This window comes from Homo sapiens, chromosome 2 (genome assembly GCF_000001405.40).
Source record: "Homo sapiens chromosome 2, GRCh38.p14 Primary Assembly".
NCBI lineage: Eukaryota > Metazoa > Chordata > Mammalia > Primates > Hominidae > Homo > Homo sapiens.
The window spans coordinates 74,632,078-74,656,510 of NC_000002.12; the positions used below are offsets into that span (position 1 = coordinate 74,632,078).

General features: G+C 42.4%; 2 protein-coding genes across 29 annotated transcripts in view, besides 1 other annotated feature; one reads left to right on the forward strand and one right to left on the reverse strand.

Moving 5' to 3' along the window:
• Positions 1 to 16,253, reverse strand: part of M1AP (meiosis 1 associated protein) — a 90,448-nt gene extending 74,195 nt beyond the window's left edge. For 9 of the 13 annotated variants that reach the window (XM_047443432.1, XM_047443431.1, XM_047443430.1 and 6 more), the window contains exons 1-2: positions 16,188 to 16,253; positions 7,959 to 8,250 (exon numbers count right to left, since the gene is read on the reverse strand). In XM_047443432.1, the coding sequence (XP_047299388.1) occupies positions 7,959 to 8,198 (240 nt within the window). In that variant the 5' untranslated portion in view covers positions 8,199 to 8,250; positions 16,188 to 16,253. Of the gene's footprint in view, positions 1 to 7,958; positions 8,251 to 13,010; positions 13,032 to 15,197 lie in introns of those variants that run through there. The other 4 variants (XM_006711946.4, NM_138804.5, XM_011532551.3 and 1 more) reach the window with 4 other exon arrangements.
• Positions 22,017 to 22,446: a silencer, noted in NCBI's record as "silent region_11671". NCBI's record gives its function as "represses an Ori minimal core promoter by ATAC-STARR-seq in GM12878 lymphoblastoid cells {active_cell/tissue: GM12878}" and the evidence as "EXISTENCE:reporter gene assay evidence [ECO:0000049][PMID:35858748]".
• The window catches only part of SEMA4F (ssemaphorin 4F), a 55,165-nt gene continuing 52,901 nt past the window's right edge, over positions 22,170 to 24,433 (forward strand). For all 16 annotated transcript variants that reach the window (XR_007068742.1, NR_073398.2, NR_073399.2 and 13 more), the window contains exon 1: positions 22,170 to 22,444. Coding sequence is in view for 10 of the 16 variants with exons in the window: in NM_001436846.1 (NP_001423775.1) it covers positions 22,300 to 22,444 (145 nt within the window). In the remaining 6 variants the exon portion in view is untranslated. The remainder of the gene's footprint in view (positions 22,445 to 24,433) is intronic.

Below are 24,433 nucleotides of genomic sequence, written 5' to 3' on the forward strand. Positions count from 1 at the left end.
AACTTATTGTTCGGTTGGAAAGAAATTTTGGCTTTCAATTTTTCCTGAGAAGCCAGTGAGGAGTCTGATTCCTGGTTAAAAACCTATGTGTGATTTTTTCAGGCCTGACCATAGGCAATTACAAATAATTTACCTGGCAGACCTCATGGGGAAAAAGCTGCCTTTGCCACACCAGACTTGGTGCACAGCCAATGCACTGCAGTCTCTGTAGGGAGTTGCAGTCAAGGATTCAGAACCCCTAGCTGGTCATGTTCTTGGAATATTTGTATTCCTAGCTCTGGTACTTTCATTTCTAGCTCTCTTCATCTGAGGCCTTGGGCCAAGTCCTCCTCAGGCCCTCTGTCAAGACCTCCTTGTGGCGGAAGGGAGAAGGAAGCCTTAAAGACACTTTTCCCTACTCTGAGTCACTACTCAGTACTTTTCCACTCCTAGCCTTCCCTCCTTGCCCTCCCCTCAACCCCAGGGTGCATAAAATTGCTAGAGCCTTTTGTTTGGGACTCCTTCAACAGTGAAACTATCCCCATGTCTGCACTTATCTTCAACCAGTGCACAGTTCCATGGAGGAAATGGAATAGGGCGAGTAGGCACTTTCTCCAGTTTAGATTCTTGCTTATACTATTACTGTAAATAATCAAAGGCTTACCCTTTTATTTGAGGCTTGATGTCGTTAATCAGCTACTATGACAGCTCAGCTCTTTCCTAGCTTAGTTGAGCTTCTGACAAGTCAGTGGTTTCTAGTGTAAAGCTGTCTGCCTTTTCTAGTGGAGTGATTAAAAGATTAAGGGATTCAACTAGGTCCAAATGTACTGAGGAGTGCCAGAAGGATATAACATAGCCACTTGAGGAGGAAAAAAAATCCTTTTACCCTTGTTTGGGACATGGGCTCATTTCCTAAGAAACCTCTTATACTGGATATCTTCTATTTGCCCTTCCAGATCACTCTCTACTTTCTCTACCCTATTTTGTGCCCTAGGAAGGTGATCCATAGGGACTGATTCAATGAGGTCATTCACACTCTTACTTCCAGCTGGCTTTGGTCAATGGGAGGCACCAGCAGGAGATCTGCATGTGGGAGGAAAGTGAGGTCAGGGTATTTCATCTCCTGATTTCCTCCTCACCAGATTGCCATGGGATGGCTGCATCCTTCTTCTGAAGGCAACATGATTCTTTGCTTGATCAAATTTTAGTCAGGCTTCTAAACCTTTTCTTAGGCCCATCTGTGCACTTCCTTGTAAAATTTCATTTTAGCAAAGAACCCTGCTAAGTCAGTTTGGCGAGAATCCCCTACTCTTAATGTCTGATCATTCTCAGTATCTGATTGGGTTCCTCATCCTGCACCATCCCCCAGGTGATGTCTGATCACCCTGGCCTGTTTTCAGCAAGAATCCTGTAAGTCAGTTTAGCCAGAATTCCCCTTACCCCTGATGTTTCCTCTTAGTAATTATCTATCCACTGATCCCCACAGGCTCCTTGGCTATATATTCCCACTTGCTTGTGCCATATTCAGAATTGAGCCCAATCTCTCTTTCCCATTGCAACATCCCATTGTCATGGTCCTTATACCTATTGATGGATTTCCAAGGGACCAGTGCTATGGTCCCTTTATTTAGGACCATAACAACATACCTATTGTGTTGGTCCTCAGTAAAGTCTTTCTTACCATAATTTAACAATGTCATGAATAACTTTTTCTTTAACAAAGGCCAAAGATCCCGTCAGGCAGCCCTCTTCAGACAGTTCCCTCCTCTTCAGTCCTAGAGGTGGTATGGCTATTGCACCACCTAAACTCTGCCCACACCTATGTAAATATTCCCTTCTATATTTCTTTGAAAATTATTTGGTTTGAGTGTGCCATCTATCTGTTTCTTCCTAGCAATTTGACTGACTTAACAGCTCCTTACATAAATACTCAATTAAAAAGGAAAATAAAATCTAAAATACTTTTTAAAGTTATAAGCTAAAAGATAACAATAGATTTTAAAAACTACATTGAATACACACATCAATAAGCAAACATATTAGGATAAAAGTGAAAGTCATGGAAAAAACACTTAGCATGATGCCATGTATGCAGTAAGCACTCCATAATATCAGCTTAATGTTATTAACATATTAGCAAATAGAGCGATTTGTCTGAATTGAGTGCCTGAAAATGACCAACAAATACCTTGTATATTTGTAATGAGAAGGTTGGTGGTTACTATAGAGGCAATTTCATAAGGGCAAAACTACCAGTAGGAAGTACCTGAGGATTGAGCTCCCTCTCAGAAATCCAGGCTCTTACCACTTGACTTAAGGTGTTAGTATATCACCAGAAGGGAACCATGGTGGTTTTAAATATGTATACAAATTCTTTGACATACTTCTCCTCAAAGGGTAGTACAAAATTCTTGGGATTTTCTAATTAGCCCATCACATCATCCACAAACCGGGACAATTTCATTTCTTCGTGTCCAAGCTGCATGCCTTTTATTTCCTTTTCTTACCTTATTGTGCTGCCTAGGACTTCTAGTACTATGCTGAGGAGTACTAAGAGCAGACATCTTTGTCTTGTCTCAATCTTAGGGGGAAAGCATTCAGTCTTTCACCATTAAATATGGCATTAGCTGTAGGTTTTATCATGAGTGGACGTTGAACTTTGTCAAATGCTTATTCTACTTCAATTGACATAATCATGTGGTTTTCTTCTTTAGCCTTTTAATATGGTATACTACTTTGATTGATTTTCAAATATTGAACCAATTTTGCATCCCTGAAATAAGTTCTACTTGGTTATGTTGTATAATTCTTTTTAATTGCTGAATTCTATTTTTTAATATTTTGTTAAGTTTTATGTCATCTATGTTCATGAGGGATATCGGTCTTCAGTTTTCTTTTTTTGTACCACCTTAGTCTATTTTGGGGATAAAAAATAGCCTCATAAAATGAGTTTGGAAGTATTTCCTTCTTTTATATTTTCTGAAAGAGATTATGTAGAATTGATGTTATTTTTCTTTAAATGTTTAGTAGAATTCTTCAATAAAACCACCTGGGTCTGAAGATTTCTTTTTCAAAATTTAAAAATTATGAATTCAGTTCCTTTAATGGTTACAGGGCCATTCAAACTATCTGTTTCATATTGGGCAATTGTGATAGTTTGTGCTTTTCAAGGAATTGGTCCATTTCATCTAAGTTGTTAGATTTACGTATGTAAAGGTATCTGTAGTATTCTCTTATTATCCTTTGGAATAATAAGGGCCTATAATGACACTCCCCTGTTTCATTCCTGATATTGGTAATCTGTATTTTCTTTTTCTATTTTCCTTGTCATTCTTGCCAGAGGTTTGTTAATTTTATTGATCTTTTCAAAGAATCAACTTCTTTTCATTGATCTTCTCTATTTTCTGTTTCCAATTTCACTTATTTTTGCTCTTCATTATATCCTTGTTTTTGCTTGTTTTGAGTTCATTTTGCTTTTCCTTTTCTAGTTTCTTGAGGTGGGAGTTTATATTACTGATTTGACTTTTCTCTTTTCTAATGTAAGCATTTTAGTGCCATAAATTTCCTTCTCAGCACTGCTTTACCTGCATCCCACAAATTTTGATATTTGTATTTTCATTTACCTTCAGTTCAATGTATTGTCTTTTAAAATTTCCCTTGACATTTTGCTTTTTGACCAATGGATTATTTAGAAGTGTGTTGTTTAGTTTTCAAGTGTTTGGGGGAATTTTTCTGTTATGTTTCTGTTATAGATTTTTACTTTGATTTCATTGTGTCAGAGAACATACTATGCATGATTTCAATTTTTAAAGTTTGTTTAAGTTTCTTTCCTTCATGGCCCATGGTATGGTCTAGTTTGGCAAATGTTCCACGGGTGCTTGAAAAGAATGTGCATTCTGCTTGTTGTTAGGTGGAGTATTATATAAATGTCAATTAGATCCTGTTGGCTGATGTTTTTCTATATCCTTATTGATGTTCTATAATTGTTGAGAGAGGGACACTGAATCCAACTATAATTGTGGATTTATCTATTTCTTCTTTTAGATCAATCAATTTTTGCTCCACATATTTTATAGCTTCTGTTGTTTGATGCATACACATTTAGGATTTCTGTATCTTCTTGGTGGATTGACCTTTTCATCATTGTCTAATGTCCCTCTCTGTACCTGGTATTCTTTGATCCGAAATCTGTTTCATCTGATATATTAATAAATCCACTCCTGCTTTGTTTTGGTTAATGTTTGCATGATATATCCCTTTCCATTCTTTTACTTTCAGCCTACATTTAATGTGTTTGAAGTTAGTTTCTTTTAGACAGGATATAGTTGGGTCATTTAAAAAATCAACTCTGCCAAGCCCTTTCTTTTAATTGATGTTTTTAGGTCACTCACATTTAATATAACTATTGATATGTTAGCCTGCCAATTTATTTGTTGTTTTCTGCTTGTTCCCTCTGTTTTTAGTTTCTTTGTTTTCTTTTACATACCTTCCAATGGGCTATTTGAATATTTTAAAAATACCCTATTTTGACTTATCCATGGTGTTTCTGAGTGTATTTCTTTGTATAGGTTTTTTAGTGGTGGCTCTAATTATCACATTGTACATAGAAACTTATCAGAGTCAACTGGTGTCAACATTTTACCAGTTCAAATGAAGTGTAGAAAACTTACCTCCCTTTATATCACTTTCCCCTGCTTTGTTTATAATATAATTGTCTTAGGTATTTCCTCTACATATATCTCAAACTCCTGGGCTCAAGTGATCCTCCTGCCTCAGACTCTCAAAGTGCTAAGATTATAGGTGTGAGTCACCATGCCCAGCCTCAAGATTTCATCTTTAACAATAGTTTTTACATGATGTGCCTTAATGTAGTTTTCTTCATGTTTCTTGTGCATGGCATTCATTGATTTCTTAAATTTGTGGGTTTGGAGTATTTATCAAAATTAGAAAAATTTTGGCCATTTTTTAAAAGTATTTTTTCTATCCCCTGTTCCTCTCCTTTGGAGACTTTAATTACACATATATCAGATGGCGTGAAGTTGCCCCAGAGCTCAATTATGTTCTATCCATTTAAAAAAAATGATTATTTTCTTTCTGTGTTTCATGTTGGATAGTTTCTATTCCTATGTCTTCATGCTCACTAATCTTTTCTTTTGTAATGTCTAATCTGCCAATAATTCCATCTAGTGTATTTTCCATGCCAGAAATTGTAGTTTTCCTCTCTAAAAGTTTGATTTGGAACTTTTAAAATGTCTTCTATATCTCCACTTAGCTTTTTGAACACATGGAACCCGATTATAACAATTGTCTTAATGTCCTCATCTGCTAATTCTAACATTTATGTCACTTCTGGGTCAGTTTTAATTAATAATTTCTTCATAATGAGTCATAATTTCCTGCTTCTTTGCACACCTATTTAAGTTTTGATTGAATGTCAGACAGTATGAATTTTACCTTGATGGGTGCTACATAGTTTTGTATTTCTATAAATATTCTTGAGCTTTGTTCTGGGATAGTTAAGTTACCTGGAAACAGTTTGACACTTAGGATCTTGTGTTTATGTTAGGTAGTCTTGAGCAGTACTAAGTCTTGGGCTATTTTATGCCCTACTACTGAGGCAAGATCTTTGTGAGTCCTCTATCCAATGTATCATGAATTATGAGGATTTCCAGCTTGGCTGATATGAACAGGTACTATTCCAGTTGTGAGTATCAGGTACCACTGTCTCTAGTCCTTCAGGGTGGCTCCTTCTTTGGCCTTGGGTAGTTTCCTCATGTGCATGTACTGATCAGTACTCTGCTGAATACTCAAGGGGCACCCTCTTCAGGTCTTTATAGAGTTCTGTATGTAGCTCCTTCTCCTCTAGCTATTAATACCTTGGTCTCTCTGAAGTCCCAGATCCATCTCCTTGACTCAAGGAAACCACTGGCACCCGCCCCTAGGTTCTCCCTCTCTGCATTGTAGCTTAGAAACTTTCTCAAGGCAGTAAGCTGGGACAATTCTTTTTTTTTTTTTTGAGACGGAGTCTTGCTCTGTCACCCAGGCTGGAGTGCAGTGGCGCGACCTCGGCTCACTACAACCTCCGCCTCCAGGGTTCAAGCGATTCTCCCGCCTCAGCCTCCCGAGTAGCTGGGATTACAGGCAGCCGCCATCATGCCTGGATAATTTTTGTATTTTTGTAGAGGTGGGGTTTTACCATGTTGGCCAGGCTGGTCTTGAACTACTGACCTCAGGTGATCTGCAAGCTGGAACAATTCTAAGTCTCACCTCATTGACTTCCTATCACCCAGGGGGCTTTGTTCTTTGCTGCGTGATGTCCAGTGTTTTGAAAAGTGTTTTTCATAGGTTTTATCCAGTTTTTTTTTATTGTTTGAGGCAAGAGGGTAAATCAGCTTGCTGTTATTCTATCTAGGGTGGAACAGTGACTTGCTTCCAATGAACAGAATGTGGAGGAAGTGACAACATGTTACTTTTGAGACTAAGACATAAAAGGTATTTTGGCTTCTTCATTGCTCTCTCTCTCTTTTGGATCAGTCGTTCTGGGAGAAGCCCGCTGCCACAAATTAAGGACATTCAAGCAGCCCTTTGGAGAGATCCAAGTGGTCAGGAAACAAGAATTTCTGCCAACAGCTAAGTGAATACGCCATCTTGCAACTGGATCCTCCAGCCTCAATCAAGCTTTCAGATGACTGACATCTTGGCTACAATCTCATGAGGGACCCCAAGCCTGATCTACCTAAGCCACTTATGAATTCCTAACTCATAGTAACTATGAGATGATGTTTATTAATTTAGACCACTACATTTTGGGATAATTTGTTACACAGCAATAAACAATGAATAGAGGTACCAAATTCTGCTCAAACTGTAGAAAGGATCAGTTGAATTTCTTAAATAATTTTATCCTTTTCCCATCCCCAACCCAGCCTAAGTAACAATGCACAGACAAAATCCCCATACTTAGCACTGGAGCATTTATACTCAAAACTTTCCCTGTGTGACTTTTGTCAAGAAATAAACCATGAGTTGTTATAAGCCTAAGGTTCTGTCAAAGCAACCAGGGTATGTTCTAACTCAAGAAGCATGAAGTAATATATATTATTTTCATTCTTTATAGTATCAACAGAGATGTTATCTTTCCACTTCCAATGAGGGAAACTAAGGCATTAATAAAAAAATAGATTTCAGTCATATATTACATTCATAATTCAGCAATGGATTTATGAAATTTCCTCTTTTGGAAATCTTAAATAAGACTTATATCCATTTGATAACGTATATTAGCAGCAAGGCTACCTCAAGGAAGGAGATGCATAGAACCTCTGGAAGTCTTTCTCTTCACTATGATTCTGAATTTTATACAAGGGAGAAAGGGAAGATTGAAATTTTGAGGAGGAGCATAGATAATTGTTTATGTATGAAGGAGCTTTGTAAAGACACTGCCCCTGGCCCAGCCATTGCCTTCCATAACCCTAGGGGGCAGTTTCACCTGAGTCTATGTGGAATGTAGAAAAAATATTTTCATGTTTTTGCATAGTTAGGGCTTTCTGAGCAAAGAAAACTGGTACCTGGGTTAAAGGGCAAGTCTTGGAAGTTAAAAGATGATTGAATAGTCAGAGACCTCAGAAGAGATTTAGAGGCTTCCCTCCTTGTGTGTTTACATTTCAAAGGGCATAAAAGGAGTCAGTTGTTTACATTTCAAACATCTGTCAATGCCAAGGTTTCTCTCCCTCTCTCTGGAGTGGAGCTTGTAGCCTATTTATACTCCCAGATTAATAATTTTGGATTTTCTCTTCAACAGTACACACCCCTATATATGCAGGATGCCCTCTGGCTCTCATGGTGTTACTCGGGGGCTACTGTGTGTGGAGAAGTAGTGCGGTTATTGTTATAAGTATTAATAACTGTGATCTCTATTCCAGAAACCTTACCACTGTATTTGCTTTCAGGGTAAAATGAATAAATATAGATATACTTACCACAAAAGGGAGGATGCACTCATGCTGATCTTGTACCATGTATAAACTGAACAGGGACATGCGGCTGGGGCCCATCAAGCTGCAGGCTAGAGAGAAGAAGTTCTGCAGAGCCTCACAGAGGTTGGTGCAGATGTCAGCCCAGGACGGTAGAGCAATGTGCACAATGAGAAGCCGTGGAGGTTGCTGGTCAATCTGAGTGTGAGTAGAGGGCCCTTTACCAGTAGTTCGCCCAGGATGCATGGCAGCAAAACCAGAGGGGGAACTGTAGCCACCAGCTGGATATTCTTTACACCTATAGGGAAGGAAAGAGAAACCACTGGTTTTCAAACTGAATTATGTGTGCTCTGTTGAAATATAAAATACAAGTCGAGGGAAACAAATCCAGAAAGGAGTCAGATTGGGTACTAAAGCTTGTCCAGGCCATCCTATTTTTTTTTTTTTTTTGAGACAGAGTCTCGGTATGTCACCAGGCTGGAGCGCAGTGGTGCGATCTTGGCTCACTGCAACCTCTGTCTCCCAGGTTCAAGCGATTCTCCTGCTTCAGCTTCCCGAGTAGCTAGGACTACAGGTGCACACCACCACGCCCAGCTAATTTTTGTATTTTTAGAGATGGGGTTTCACCATGTTGGCCAGGATGGTCTTGATCTCTTGACCTCACGATCCGCCCGCCTTGGCCTCCCAAAGTGCTGGAATTACAGGCGTGAGCCACCGTACCTGGCCCAGGCCATCCTATTTTAACAGCTCCCAAGAGATCTAGATGTTTGCCTATCATGTAAGCCTGAGAATGCTTAGAGATGCTGAGTGGAACTAATCAAAAGTTACACCAAAAAACTCAAGCTTCTGTCTCAAAGTAAGCTATCTGCCCTCATAAACTTTGTTTCTTTATTGGCATTTATTGCACTCTATTACAATTTGTTTCTATGACTGCCTCTCCCACTATATTGTAAGCTTCCCAAGGGTAGAGAACCTGTCTTGTTGATATTATTCATCAATGCCTAGCATATGTGTGTTTAGTACCTAACGAATAATTCTTAAAAATGAAAATATGACTACATTTCTCCTTGGTTAAAATTCTTTGGTTGTCTGAATCTCTTATAAGGTAAAATTTAAACTGTCTTTAAGACCTGTCATTACTTAATTGTTAGCCTCATTAGAAATTGTTCTTCGCCTCAAGATTTTCACGGAAACAATACCAAATATATTCACTTTAGTGCATTTGCTCATGCTGCTTCTCTGCCTCCAATACTCCTGCCTTCTTTCTCTACTGGCTACTTATACTTATCCCCAGGACTCAGATTAGGAAGTGAGAACAATTGAGAACAAAGAACCAATATAAGGAATGAGAAAGGGACATCATCACAAATGCTCAAACGTGAAAAGGGTTATAGGAGGACATAATGAATAGCTTTATGCTAATAAGTTTGATAAAGTGGACAAATTCCTAGAAAAATGTATCTAACCAATACTAAAGAAATTTTAGAAACCTAAATAGTCTATAATCATTAAGGAAATGTAATTGGTAATCAAATATCTTCCCACAAGTAAGAGGGTCAGATGATTTCACTGATGAGCTCCATCAAACATGCAAAGACCAAGAATTTCAATCTTTTTTTTTTTTTTTGTAGAGATGGGGTCTTGCCATGTTGCCCAAGATGGTCTCAAACTCCTGGGCTCAAGTGATCCACCTGCCTCGGCCTCCTGAAGTGCTGGGATTACAGGTGTGAGCCACCGCGCCCAGCCAAGAATTTCAATCTTAAACAAATTATTTTAAGAACAGAAGAACATATATAACAGGATACACTCCTCAACTAATTTTTTTTTTTTTTTTAGATGGAGTTTCACTCTTGTTGCCCAGGCTGGAGTGCAATGGCATGATCTTGGCTCGCTGCAACCTCCGCCTCCCGGGTTCAAGCGATTCTCCTGCCTCAGCCTCCTGAGTAGCTGGGATTACAGGCATGTGCCACCATGCCTGGCTAGTTTTGTATTTTTAGTAGAGACAGGGTTTCTCCATGTTGGTCATGCTGGTCTCGAACTTCTGCCCGCCTCGGCCTCCCAAAGTGCTGGGATTACAGGCGTGAGCCACGGCACCTGGCCTCCTCAATTAATTTTACGAGGTTAGCACGACCTTTGAAAGTGAAACCAGATAAAGGTGTAATAAGAAAAAAATTATAGGATAATCTCACCCATAAACTTGTAAAAATTCTAAATAAAATATAGAGAAATTGAAACTAATAATATACAAAAAAAAACAGCATGACCAAGTTGAGTTTATCCCAAGAACATAAGGTTGATATAACATTAGAATATCAATCACGTAATTCGTCACATTAAAAAAGTAAATGAGAAAAATGATATGATCATCCCAATAGACGCAAAAAAGCCTCTGTTTAAAACCCAGCATTTGTGCATGATAAAGACTGAGTAAGAATAGATGATAGGAATAATCTGACAAAATATATTTACAAAAAGAGAGAGCAAACATCATTCTTCATGGTGATATGTTGAAAGCTTTCCATGTAAGACAAGGAGCATGCTATCATCACTTCTATTCAGCATTATAGTGAAGGTAGTAATGAGGTAAGACAAATAAATAAAAGGCATTGCAATGGAAGAAAGAAAACTGTCATTGTGTGCCAATGATTGTGTATATAGAAAATCTAAAATAATCTACAGCTTTGTAATTTTTCCCAAAAGATCTCCTTGTCTTTTGTCAAATTTTAGTCTTAGGGATCTGTTGATTTTTAAATATTAATTTACATTTCAAAGAACTATCGATGACAAAGTTTCCCTTTCTCATCTTTTTAAATTTCATTTTTAGTTTGTTGCTTATGTATAGAAATATAGTTAATTAAAACAATCTTTTATAGAGATGGGGTCTTGCTATGTTGCCCAGGTTGGTCTTGAACTTCTGAGCTCAACCAATCCAACCGGCTCTGCCACCCAAAATGCTGGGATTATAGGCATGAACCACTGTGCCCAGCTATAATTAATTTTTGTATATTGACTTTAACAACCTTGCTGCACTCTCTTACTAATTATAATAATTTATCTATAGAACTTTTTGGATTTTTTTTGTTCTTAATCATATAATCTTTAAATAATCATATATAACAGGATACATGAAAAAAAAGTCAGATCATAGCAGCCAAAAGACTATTAATAACAATCTTGTTCACAATTACCCAAAACTGAAAAAAACACAAATGTCAATCTACATTAAAATGGATAAATCATAGTATATTTCCACATACAGCAATGAAGATGAATGAACTGCAGTTCCATGTGGCAACATGGATGATTCTAAGAAACATAATATTGAGTAAAAGCAGCAAGACACAAAGAATACATACACATGTAGCATGATTTCATCTACATTTTAAAAATAAGCAAAAGTAGTTATATTGTTTAGAGGTGCATACACAGTGATAAAATTATAAAGAAAAGCAAAGAATTGATTATCACAAAAATGAGGGTAGTGATTTTCCCTAGGAAAGAATGAAGGCATTATGATGAGAAGAGACAAAAGAAGGGGGTCCTGGGGTGTTGGTAATGTTCTTTTTTTTTTTTTTTTTTGAGACAGGGTCTCGCTCCATCGCCCAGGCTGGAGTGCAGCAGTGGCCCAATCTCAGCTCACTGCAACCTCCACCTCCCAGGCTCAAGTGATCCTCCCACCTCAGCCTCCTAAGTACCTGGCACTACAGGCATGCACCACAATGCCTCTCTAATTTGTGTGTTTTTTTGGTAGAGACAGGGTTTTGCCATGTTGCCCAGGCTGGTCTCAAACTCCTGGGCTCAAGCAATCCTCCCACCTTGGCCTCCCAAAGTACTGGGATTACAGGGATGAGCCACCACTTCCAGCCTAATGTTCTATTTCTTGATCTTTATTGTGGATATTGGGTATTCACTTTCTACTATTAAACTACACATTCATGTTTTATGACATTTTCTGTATATATGTTATATTTAATAATAAAAATATTTCAAGAAGAACATTAGGACAATCAAAAGAAAACAAAAGAAATATGATAAAAAAGATAGCTAAAAAATATGTCCCCACCTCTGAGAACTAAAATCATTCTATATAATTGTTTTTAGCTAAAGAATGTAGGGAAAATTAAAGCTTATTTGATTTCCCCTGTGACAATACAAAGATAATTATGATAATTTTCAGAAACACTTTGGAATTTAGAATCTTTAAAAATGATCTAAGAATACATAGATAGGCCGGGCGCAGTGGCTCACGCCTGTAATCCGAGCACTTTGAGAGGCTGAGGCGGGTGGATCTCAAGGTCAGGAGTTTGAGACCAGCCTGACCAACATGGTAAAACCCCATCTCTACTAAAAATACAAAAATTAGCCGGGCGTGGTAGCACGCGCTTGTAATCCCAGCTACTCAGGAGACTGAGGCAGGAGAATCGCTGGAACCCAGGAGGCGGAGGTTGCAGTGAGCCAAGATCGCGCCATTGCACTCCAGCCTGGGTGACAGCGCGAGACCCCGTCTCAAAAAAAAAAAAAAAAATACATAGATAGATGTATTTCCCCAAATGAATCAGTGAAGTTATTCTCTTCAAACTTCCCTTTTTGGATAGTGGAAGTCAGCATTTGTTCATTCAACATTTTTAAAAATTGAGTTCCAATTACGTGCTGGATACAGCTAGAAAAATAAATGAATTAATATGCTAATCTGTTGAAAGTCATCTTGAACCAGAAACCCAAATCAATTACTAATGTATTTACCAAGAAAGCACATAACATATTTTTAAACTGTACTTTAAGTACATGGGGCCAATTTCTACATGGAATGCTGAACTTGAAGCTGACACAGAGAAATTCACACAAACAGGTAGTCAGAGGCCTTATTTAATGTATAATTAAATTTAATTATCCATCTCCATCTCTCACATCTGAAAACGCCATTTTAAAGTAGAGGCAGGACAACCTGCTCAGGTCCCCTTCCACACTGTGGAAGCTTTGTTCTTTCGCTCTTTGCAATAAATCTTGCCGCTGCTCACTTTTTGGGTCCGCACTGCCTTTATGAGCTGTAATACTCACCGTGAAGGTCTGCAGCTTCGCTCCTGAGGCCAGGGAGACCACAAACCCACCGGGAGGAATGAAAAACTCCACACACGCCGCCTTAAGAGCTGTAACACTCACTGCAAAGGTCTGCAGCTTCACTCCTGAAGCCAGCGAGACCATGAATCCACCAGAAGGAAGAAACTCCAGACACATCCGAACATCAGAAGGAACAAACTCCGGACACACCATCTTTAAGAACTGTAACACCGCCAGGGTCCGCGGCTTCATTCTTGAAGTCAGCAAGACCAAGAACCCACCAATTCTGGACACAGTATTGCTGGGCCATAAGGCACGTATGAGTTTAGTTTTGATAGTGAGGTAGGAGGCGGGACTCAACTCTGCAGGAAGGGCTTGGACACCAGACCAAATTGAGGACTAGCTTAAACAGGGCGAGGGTGGAAGCAGCTTTCCATAAGACATGCCCACCAGTGTGCCCTGTCAGTTTACCATTGCCATGGCAACACTCAGAAGTTACCATCCCTTTCTATAGCAACGACTCTATGACCTGGAAGTTACCATGCTTTTCCTAGAAATTTCTGCATCAACTCCCCCTTAATTTGCATGTAATTAAAACTGGGTATAACTATGACTGCTGAACTACCTCTGAGCTGCTATTCTGGGCACACTGCCTATGGGGTAGCCCTGCTCCACAGTTGCAGTACCTCTGCTGCTGCTGTACACTGCTGCTTTAATAAAAGTTGCTGTTTAACATCACCAGCTCACCCTTGAAAAAAATAAAAATAAAAAAATAAAGTAGAGGCAGTCCTCATTTTGCATGGTTCAAGTATATAGATTTCAGTTACTACAGTTTAGTTAATTAACACTAGTCTTCCAACAACACAGTTCAAATTTCAGTTACCATGGAATATTAACTGTAATTACATAAAGTAGTATCTAGCTCTTTAGTTCACGAATTACTAGTTATCAGTATCAATAGTATAGTATACTGATATAGCGTACTGATATAATATAGTGATCAGTGCATCATGATCAGTAATTAATTATATCACTTCTTTCAAAGTCTGTTGGTGACCCGTCACTGCAGATCCATTAGTCAGTTAAAGCACAGACAGAAGTGTGTAGTTGTGTCGCCTCCTTGTCTCCTAGTGATAAGCCCATGTGATGTTTTATAAAAACAAAAACTGAAAGAGGAAACTAGCCGATAAAAGGAGCAGCAAAGAAATAAAAAATGATAATGCCAGGAGTGAAATCTGAATCTAACATAAGTGGAGTTAAAGGAGAAACAGCTGACTATGAGAGTGTTGACACTGCCTCCACCTGATAGACTCTAGAGAAGCAGCCAGAGGAATTTAGTGAAGGCAAACTTATCAACATACTTGAGGAAAGTCATTGTGATGAAAAGGATGAAGACATCCTACAGAAAGGGCCACTGGCAAAAAGCTTCATTATTAAAGAAACTTTCAGAGATATTTTACAAAATTGAAGGTACAAAGGATAAAATGTAGGAAACTAACCCAAACTTAGAAAGAAGTATGTCAGTTTGCCAAGACACACAAAAAATGTTTGCTCTCTCATAAGTTTTACTATGAGAGTTTTTTTTCAACAAATAAAACACTTTAGCTCTCAATGTTTCTAATGTTTTAAGTTAGTGTATGAAATAGTTTTACTGTTTTACATTTCCCTATACAGTTAGTAAGAAAGTTTTAGTGTTTTGACAATTTTTCAAGGTTATAGAACAACTGTAATTTTTCCCATTGGTGTTTAAGATCTCTTTGAATGGTTTCAGCTTGCAGTCATTTTTCAATCCCACACTAATGTGCAATTGGAAGACTGTATTTTAAATGAGGTAAGAGGCAGCTCTCTTCCTTACATCCTCAAACATCATCAATTCATGCATCTGATGTGTCTGGGCATAGTACTAAACAGGCTCTGACCTTATTCTGACCCTATACTCTCCACTTTTGCCAAGAACACTCGCTTAATGAATTCTCCCTGCAAACTGGTTAAAACTGGAACTGGGCCTTGAACCACTCCAAACCACCAAGTTATGCCCAAACTAAAAACCCTCCAAGGACTTCCAATTACACCACTGGAAACAGAATCCAATATCTTTACCCTGGCCCTAAAGTTCTGCTTGTGCCTTCTGCCCAACTCTCCATCCTCACACTAGGCCCTCCCCTGCCCGCACCCCGGGAGATCCACCTCTCACAGATCGGCTTCTCGCTGTGTCTGCCTCTGCGGATGTTCTGTTCCGTGCTGAGCATTCTAGGTTAGGGCCCCTTTACAAGCCCTCATTCACTTTGTCGCGTGATAAACGATTCAATGGTTCTCCCTCTGGCAGGGCCCTATTAAAGATTTCGTGGGCCCTAAGGCACTTTCGTCTTCGTGGACCCCTTCCTCCATTAAAAAAAGATTAAAAGAAGTTAATGGATTTTGTAGGCCCTAAAAATCTCATTTCCCCCTCCTGATGTGAGAAAAAAATCAAAACACTTTCTTTGACTTCATGGGTTCACTTTAAACGAAATGAAAACATTCTCGTGGCCGGGCACGGTGGCTCACGCCTGTAATCGCAGCACTTTAGGAGGCCGAGGCGGGCGGATCACGAGGTCAGGAGTTCGAGAGCAGCCTGGCCAACATAGGGAAACCATGTCTCTACTAAAAATATAAAAAAATTAGCCAGGCGTGGTGGCGGGAGCCTGTAATTCCAGCTTACTCGAGAAGCTGAGGCGGAGAATCACTTGAACCCGGGAGGCGGAGGTTGCAGTGAGCCGAGATCACGCCATTGCACTCCAGCTTGGGCAACAAGGGTGAAACTCCGTCTCAAAAACAAAGCAAAACCAGAAGAAAAAAAATTCTCGTGGCTCCCTGAAGCCTCCGTGGTCCCTCGGCATGGCGCCTACCGTGCCTGGCGGATCAGCAGCCCGGCCCTCGGGCCTGGGGGCCCCGCGGAGGAAGCTCCGGGCCCAGACTCCGCGCAGGCCTGGCCGCCCAGAACAGTATGCGGAGGGATGACTCCGACAGCGATTTCGGAGCCTCTCTCGGCGTCAGTCTTGCGCCGGCACCCGCCACGGCCAGCGCAACCAACACCTGCCTGAGGACTGGCCCGAGCTCGGCCCACGCCCAGCCCAGCCTGCGAAGTGGTGCCGGCTGCTCTCGGGCTGCCCTCCCTCCCCGAGGCGTGGAGAACCGTACCTGTCTTCGGAAGACGGAGGCCCCCTCACCTGGTCCTCCCGGCTCTCAGCGTGCGCCCGCGCGTTCGGAGGCGCCCCCCTCAGGCCGGCGCGGCTGGGCGGGAGGCTCACTGCGGGCAAGGCGGGGCCTGGCTGCCTCAGGGTGCGCTTCAGGTGGCGCTTCAGGAAAACGGTCTCCAAGTCCCTAGATACCCTGAGAACAGTCCTTCTTTGTCCCTTAGGTAGAATTTTGTCTATTTGTTGGAAATGCTGTGCTAAACCTGACATTTTTCTTTTTCTACCCCTTCCCATGAAACATGCCAGTAGCTCCCCCACCGACCGTTTTCTTGGTTTTAACTTTTCCCTTCCACATCATTTCCTTCAGCCAGTCGCTATTTTGTTCACTAAACATCTGTGGTGGGCACGTTATGTGCCACGCATTGTGCTAGGATTGGAGTACAGTGGATGTACAGACAATGGTCACTGCCCTCATGGAAGTTATAGCTGCCTTCACAAAGTTCTTTTAAGTCTTTTCAAACTCCTGTATTCCAAGAGGGTCTGTCGCTCTCTTCATACTCATTCTCGCTTACTTGAGGTTGATTCCCATAGTCCCTTTGACGAACTCCAGATGGGGTAGGAGCGTCCTGGTCCTTAACAGTTGGTTGGTCTGGGTCTTCAACTCTGGTTAAAAAGGAATTCTCTGAATTAGTCCACAGGAGAGGGAAAGATAATGCTAGTTCCAAGCTAGAAATGTACAAGCAGTTTTCCTTGTTTTCTTTATTATTATTATTGTTATTTTCTCAGTTCATTGTCTAGATGCAGGTTGGAGGTGGGGTGGGGCAATATTTCAATGAGTGGCACAGGATAGGTTAGATGTTTCAACAGGAAAAGAGTTGCCTGCTTGTATTCTAGTCCCACTAAACCATTTTGCTCCTATCAACTGTTCCTCAGGTAAGAACAGAACTATTTAACCTATGTCCTTTTTTAAACACTATAATCTGATATTCAATAGAGTTCCTGTGTTTCAGTTTAAAGGGTAGCTTCTCAACAGCTCTTTCCCCCCATATAGTCCAAATTAGCCTTTCTGTCTCTAATCTCCAGATTATCGTTTCCACTGATGTTAGAATTGTCCTTGTAAAAATATTTTGATCATATCATTCTTTGTCTTAAAAATGGCTTATGTTTCCTTTTCGGTTAGAGGGTCCATTATAACTGACCCCACCTACCTTACTAGGCTCAACCCCAGCATTACCTGTCTTACTCCCCTTTGTGTTGCTATACCAGAATACCACAGAACAACTAACTTGTAAATAAAGGAAATGTATTCTTAAATTCTGGAGGGTAGGAATTCCAAGGTTGAGAATCCCACATCTAGTGAGGGCATTTTTTCTGTGTCATCCCATGGCAGAAGGCAGAAGGGCAAGGGGTACAAAAGAGCAAGACAGCAATAGGGAGCTGAACTCACTTTTACAACAAACCCACTCTCTCAATAACTAACTCATTTCCAAGATAATGACATTAATTCATTTATGGGGGCAGAGCCCTTATGGCCTAATCACCTCTTGTTAGGCCCCACCTCTGAACACTATTCCATTGGGTACTAAGTTTCCAGCAAATGAACTTTGGGGGACGCATTCAAACTTGAGCACTAGCCTCACTCCAAACCATACCACCCATTGCTCCTACCTACTATTAATTTCTTTCCGTACCCTCTATAGCATTTATTAAAAATATGCAAAGAACTGTACCAGAAATGGGGACTATGACATAAGAATTGTTTTCTGAGGGTGATAAACTATAATGGTCATGAGAAAGCACCTTGCAGACTTTAAACTACAAGGAGTGTAACTGACCAAGGGCATCAGCTGCTGCCTTAGAAATCTACTGCCACGACTGGGCTCCGTGGTTCACGCCTGTAATCCCAGCACTTTGGGAGGCCGAGGCGGGTGGATCACCTGAGGTCAGGAGTTCGAGACCAGCCTGACCAACATGGAGAAACCCCATCTCTACTAAAAATCCAAAATTAGCCGGGCATGGTGGTGCATGCCTGTAATCCCAGCTACTCGGAAGGCTGAGGCAGGAGAAACACTTGAACCCGGGAGGCAGAGGTTGCGGTGAGCCAAGATTGCACCACTGCATTCCAGCCTGGGCAACAAGAGCAAAAACTCTGTCTCAAAAAAAAAAAAAGAAAGAAAAAAGAAATCTGCCACATTTGCATGGAGGCCATCTTCCCAGCCACTGACTGAATGTGGTGGAGATACTAAGGCAGACCCATTCCTGGGAAACACTGCACTTCTCACACAGCACTCCTCACACAGCACTCCTCTAATGGGCAACATTGGCTTGATGATTCCCCAACAGTCTTGCTGAACTATACTCCAGTATGGAGTATAGTATGTGGAAGAGGAGTGTCAAAGATGAAGCAGGAGAGATAGGCAAAGGGCCAGAACATATACGATCTGTGGACTATATTAAAGATTTCGGATCTTATCTCATAGCAAAGGCGGGGTGGGCTGGAATGGGGAGATAAACTGAAGTGTTTAAGCAGAAGAGTGACATGATCTGATTTGTGTACTGGAGAGAACATTCTCCCTGCCTCCCTGCCTTAAAAGGAATGGATTGGGGGCTGAAATTGGGGTGGTGGCAGCAGGGCATAGGGACAAGACAAGAGTAGGAAGGAGCCCAGGCAAGAGAAGATAGTTGTTTGAATTAGGGTATTGGCAGAGGGGATGCGGAGATGTGGGAGGAAGTATTTAGGAGTTAAAATTAACAGGCCTTTATGATTGATTTGATTAAGAGGAATCCAAAATGACAGGGCCTAGAACATAGTAGGCATTCAATGAATACTTATTGAATAAACAAATGCAAAGTCTCTGGCTTAGACAGCTGGAAAGACAGTAGTGCTATGGGGAACATTGGTTTTAGCATCCACACAATTACCAGGATGCTATGAGGGTGGGGACGATAGTTCAGTTTTGGACATATTGAAATCAAGGTGCCTGTGGTTACACTGTGTGGAAATGTCCACTAGGCACTTGGATGTGTGTGTCAGAAGCTGAAGAGAAAGATATGGCCTAGAAATGTAGATTTAGAAAATCATTATTAACTAAATTAGTATGAATGAGACTACATAGAACAGTGATTTTTTTTTTCAAAGTGGGGATCTCAACTCATTAATGAATAGTAAAATCAATTTAGTGGGCTGCAACCAGCATTTAAAAAAATGGAATAGAATAAAATGCAACATGATAGGGAAAAAAATGAGAATTTAGCTCCTGAAGTAAAGATAAATATAATGTAAGTATGACTTTGTTAAAAATTTAACTCACTAATATGTACATTGGGTACATGAATGCATGTACTTAAGTGCAATTAGGTTGCACAATAAGAACCTCTTATTGTATGTTTTGTGAAAAAAATTGAAAAAATATTAAAAAAATCAAAAGACAACCAATAAGTCATGTTCAGAGAAGGGACTAAGGCCTAGACTAGACTGCTGAGAAGCAGCTTAGGAAAGGCATATAGTGGGCTAGAGGAAGAAACTCAGACGGGGGGCAGGGGTTCCATTGTGTTGAGGTTGGTTTTAGAAAGAAGATTTCAGAGAGAAGATTAGAAGTACTGATCCCAAATGCCTGATTTTCCCTCTAGGCTAAGCAATTTGAATTCAAGGACAATGGCTTTTTTTTTTTGGCAGGCTAGAGTGCAATGGTGTGATCGTAGCTCCCTGCAGCCTTGAACTCCTGGGCTCAAGTGATCCTCCTGCTTCAGTCTCCCAAGTAGCTGAGACTACAGGTGTGTGCCACCAGGCCTTGCTATTATTATTATTTTGCAGAGACAGGGTCTTGCTATGTTGACGTGGCTGGTCTCGAACTCGTCTTCAAGTGATCCTCCTGCCTCAGCCTCCCAAAGTGCTAGGATTACAGGCATGAGCCACCATGCCCAGCCAACGGACCATGTCTTAATCTTATCTCTAGTACTTAGTAAAATGCCTGGCACATATTAGGCCCTTAATAACTGTTGAAAGAACAAACTAGAACTAGTACTTGCACTTTAGAAAGATTATCCTGATGGCAGTCTGGAAGGGGAGGGACTGGAGGCTAGGTTTTTGTTTTTTAAATGAAATTATCACACAGTCCAGGTGAATGATGATGATGTCCTGAACTATGATGATAATGGAAAGAAAAGGATGGATTTAAGTTACTTTTTAGTCAGATTTATAAGGACATAGTGATTTCTTACATATGGGCATGGTAGCTAGTCTCCAAGAAAGGAGGCTGAAATCCTTGTATTCCCAGTGAAATCCCTGTACCACCTGGTGAAGTCCCCTTCCACAGTGCATCAGGGCTGCCCTGTGTGACAAGTAGAATATGGCCGAGAGATTGTGTGTTACTTCTGAGGCTAGGTCACAAATATATCATTTGCTCTTTTGCCTTGTTCTTTTGGATCACTTGCTCTGAGGAAGTCACCCCATTTTGTGAAGACATTCAAGCAGCCCCATGGAGAAATTCATGTGGAGAACAACCTTCACTTACTGCCAACAGCCACTACCAATTTGGCAGGCATGGAAGTCCGCCATCTTGGAAGTGGATCCTCCAGCCCCAGGCAAGCCTTCAGTGGACTGCTGCCCCGTTTGATATCTGGACTGTAATCTTGTGAGAGACTGGAAGCCAGACCACCTAGCTAAACTACTCCTAAATTTCTGACGCAGAGAGATTGTGAGAGATAATAAAAGTTTATTCCAAATGTCTGATTTTCCCTCCAGGCTAAGCAATTCGAATTCAGGGACCATGTCTTTTGTTTGTTTGTTTTAAGCCACCAAATTCTGAGGTTAATTTGTTACATTTGTTTTGCAGCCTAAATAACTAATACAATGGGGGTGAAAGAGGAGAAAGCAAAGACTACCTACTAAGTGCAGACTAAGTGCTTGAAGAAGGAGCTAGGGGCCGGGCGCGGTGGCTCACGCCTGTAATCCCAGCACTTTGGGAGGCCGAGACGGGCGGATCACGAGGTCAGGAGATCGAGACCATCCTGGCTGACACGGTGAAACCCCGTCTCTACTAAAAATACAAAAATTAGCCGGGCATGGTGGCGCGCGCCTGTAGTCCCAGCTACTTGGGAGGCTGAGGCAGGAGAATGGCGTGAACCCGGGAGGCGGAGCTTGCAGTGAGTCGAGATCGCGCCACTGCGCTCCAGCCTGGGCGACAGAGCGAAACTCCGTCTCAAAAAAAAAAAAAAAAAAAAAAAAAGAAGGAGCTAGGGTTGGGATGGAGGAGATAGTGAGTTATCCTCAGGACCTATGCTTGCCTTGTTTATAGGATATCCAAGTGGATATGCCCATAGGCAGTCTTTGTTCCTCGCCCTCAAAGGCCTACCAACCCTAGAAGAATCAGTTCAAATGTCACCTCTTCTGTGAGGCCTTCCTGATTTCCTCTGGCAAAACCTGGCCCTTCTGCACACTTATTGCACGTTATTATAGCAAACGTGCATTGCTTCGTATTGCAATTATCTATTTGCAGTTATTTGCTTACATTTGGAAGCCCCATTACAGTGTGAACTCCCTAGGGCAAGGGCCGTGATTTTTAGTATTTTCTGTATAATCGTGTGTGTGTGTGTGTGTGTGTGTGTGCGTGTGTGTGTGCGCGCGCGCGTTACACTGTGCCTGCCCAGCACATAGGCAGCCGTCCTTAAATGCTTGCAAAGTATTAATTTTGAGAAACTTGGTGCGTGTATCCACGTCCTCTTATTAGTAAGTTTTCCTTATTAGTACAGCTATGGGCGTTTGAGTTTTTGGAGTGGCCGGAGCAAACTCGCCACTCGAGGTCCCTGAGTGGCAGCCCCAGCGCACTTCCGAGGCAGAACTCCCACCTTCACCTGGGTCTAGCTCCGCCTCTGCCTGGGTTAGGCCTCTCCTCCCCTCAGCCCCGCCTTCACTCAATCCCGATTGGCTGGAGGAAGAAGGAGGCCCGACCATTGGCCCCTTTCTGAGGGGGCGGAGCCGGGCGGTGTTTCATCCCTCAGCCTCAGGCTGAGCCGGACCGAGCCGAGAGGACCCGAGTGGGGCCGAGGCCAGTAGCCCCGGGGCCCTGAGCAGAGGCCGTAGCTTGCGCCGCACCCGCGGCCAGGCGGAGCCAAAGATGCCGGCCTCTGCTGCGCGGCCCCGCCCGGGTCCCGGGCAGCCTACAGCCTCGCCCTTCCCGCTACTGCTGCTGGCGGTGCTGAGCGGCCCGGTATCCGGCCGCGTCCCCCGCTCGGTGCCCAGAACCTCGCTTCCAATCTCTGGTAAGGCGCGGACGCCCACGCCCTCAGCCCTTCGCGCCCACACCCACACCCACACCCACCTGCTCCTCAGACCGCTCGGCCGGACCCGGGCCTCTCAGCCTGGTGTATGGCGTTTCACGCCGCCCACGCCCCGCCGGGACCGGGGCGAGATCTTCGCACTTCACCGCATCCTCTCTGCATCCCTCCCGCGCCCCTCAGCCCCTCATCCCCAGCCCGGGCCTCGCGCCTCGGCTCCCACGACACGCCCAGGCTGCACCAGCGGGCCCTATTCCCGGAGCCGCAGGAGCGTCCAGTCCTCACCGTGCAGACTCGGACACTGAGGCCCAGAGCTCGGGTGGGGGCTGCCCGAGGTCGTTCATTTCGAAGTTCCGTCTCCCTTAGTCCCCTGTTTCCCCGCACATACACCTGGGTCCATCATTCCAGCTTGACGCCCACTCTGCTTTCAGACCCATCAGTCTTTCATTCTACTCCAGCTTTCCATTCCGATCTCCAGGTCAGCATTTCCATCTTCTCCAATTCATTTCCCTATCAGTTCTATACATCATCCGAGCCTCTTGGCCCTTCTGACAGCCCTTCCCGCTCCCCTGACATCTCTGACAGCAGCTCCCATTCTCCCATTATTGGATCCACGTTAACTCTCTTAACTTCCTCAGTGTTCCTCGCTGCCTCTGCCCATTCCCTACATTGAATATTGGTAAACCATTCAATGTGTTGATGTAAAGTTCTGCTTAAATGATTTTTCAAGTCTTCAGAAGGAAAAATAGAGGAGGGGGATATGATCCTTTGAAAAGATGTGGAAGAAGCTAGGAGACGTCACAAGGTTAAAAGTGATCATTGGGGCGATTCACATTTTAGACTCTGCTGAGGTGGGTATGAGCATGGCCGTGGACCTTGTTGTCTTCTCAGTGGGCATTGAGTGTTATTAGCACCTTGGGCAGACAGAACCAGTGAAGCCAAGAGTACAACCTGTTGGCAACAACTCTGGACTGGTTAATAGTAGTTTAGAGTTTAAATTCAGACTAGTGCCATATAGGGATGCTGTGATTCCAGAAGGCGAAGTTGTGGCCAGAGCCTGGGGTTTCAGTTTGCACCCAAGCAATAGCCACAAAGTAAGTTGAGATTGCCAGGCTGGGTTGATGTCCAGGCATCCAGAGATGTCTAGATGGCAAGCAAGGTGAAGCAGAGTTGAGGATGTGAGGGGAAGTTAGGTGATCCAGGGCTTATACTAAGCATGAGAGAGTGGGCACAGAGGTAAGTATGGGTGTGGGAGGAAGGAGTGGGCGGGACTCATCAGTACATCTAGGAATGAATGGGTTGGTGTCCAGTCTGCAGTCTTGAGGGTACTGAGCAGAGGAAGCAGGTAGAGCAGAGCTGTATTGGTGCAAGGGTAGGGTCCCCAGAACCAGAGGTTGAGCTAGGAAGGTAAATTCATGCCAACTTATTCCAGTCTTTAAATAGATACGAATTTTGAATGCTAATATGAGGTTTAGATTTTTTTTTTTTTTGAAGCGGAGTCTTGCTCTGTCACCCAGGCTGGTGTGCAGTGGTGTGATCTTGGCTCACTGCAACCTCTGCCTCCCAGGTTCAAGCAATTCTCCTGCCTCAGCCTCCCAAATAGCTGGGATTACAGGTGCGCGCCACCTTGCCTGGCTAATTTTTTGTATTTTTAGTAGAGACGGGATTTCACCATGTTGGCCAGGCTGGTCTCAAACTCCTGACCTCAAGTGATCCACCCACCTCAGCCTCCCAAAGTGCTGGGATTACAGGCGTGAGCAACCGTGTCCAGCTAGTGCTCTATTTTTATAGAAAAAGCATACTTACCCACTGGATTGTGTGCTAAATATTCTGGCCTCATCTATCTCTGGTTCACTTGTCAAGGCTGTGTTTCTCCCCCATGGCTGCTTAATAAATGGTACTTGGAAGAAAACAAAAATTGGCCCCTTTGGTTTTGCTCTTGTGGACTTGACCCTTAGGAAGCGATGGCTAACA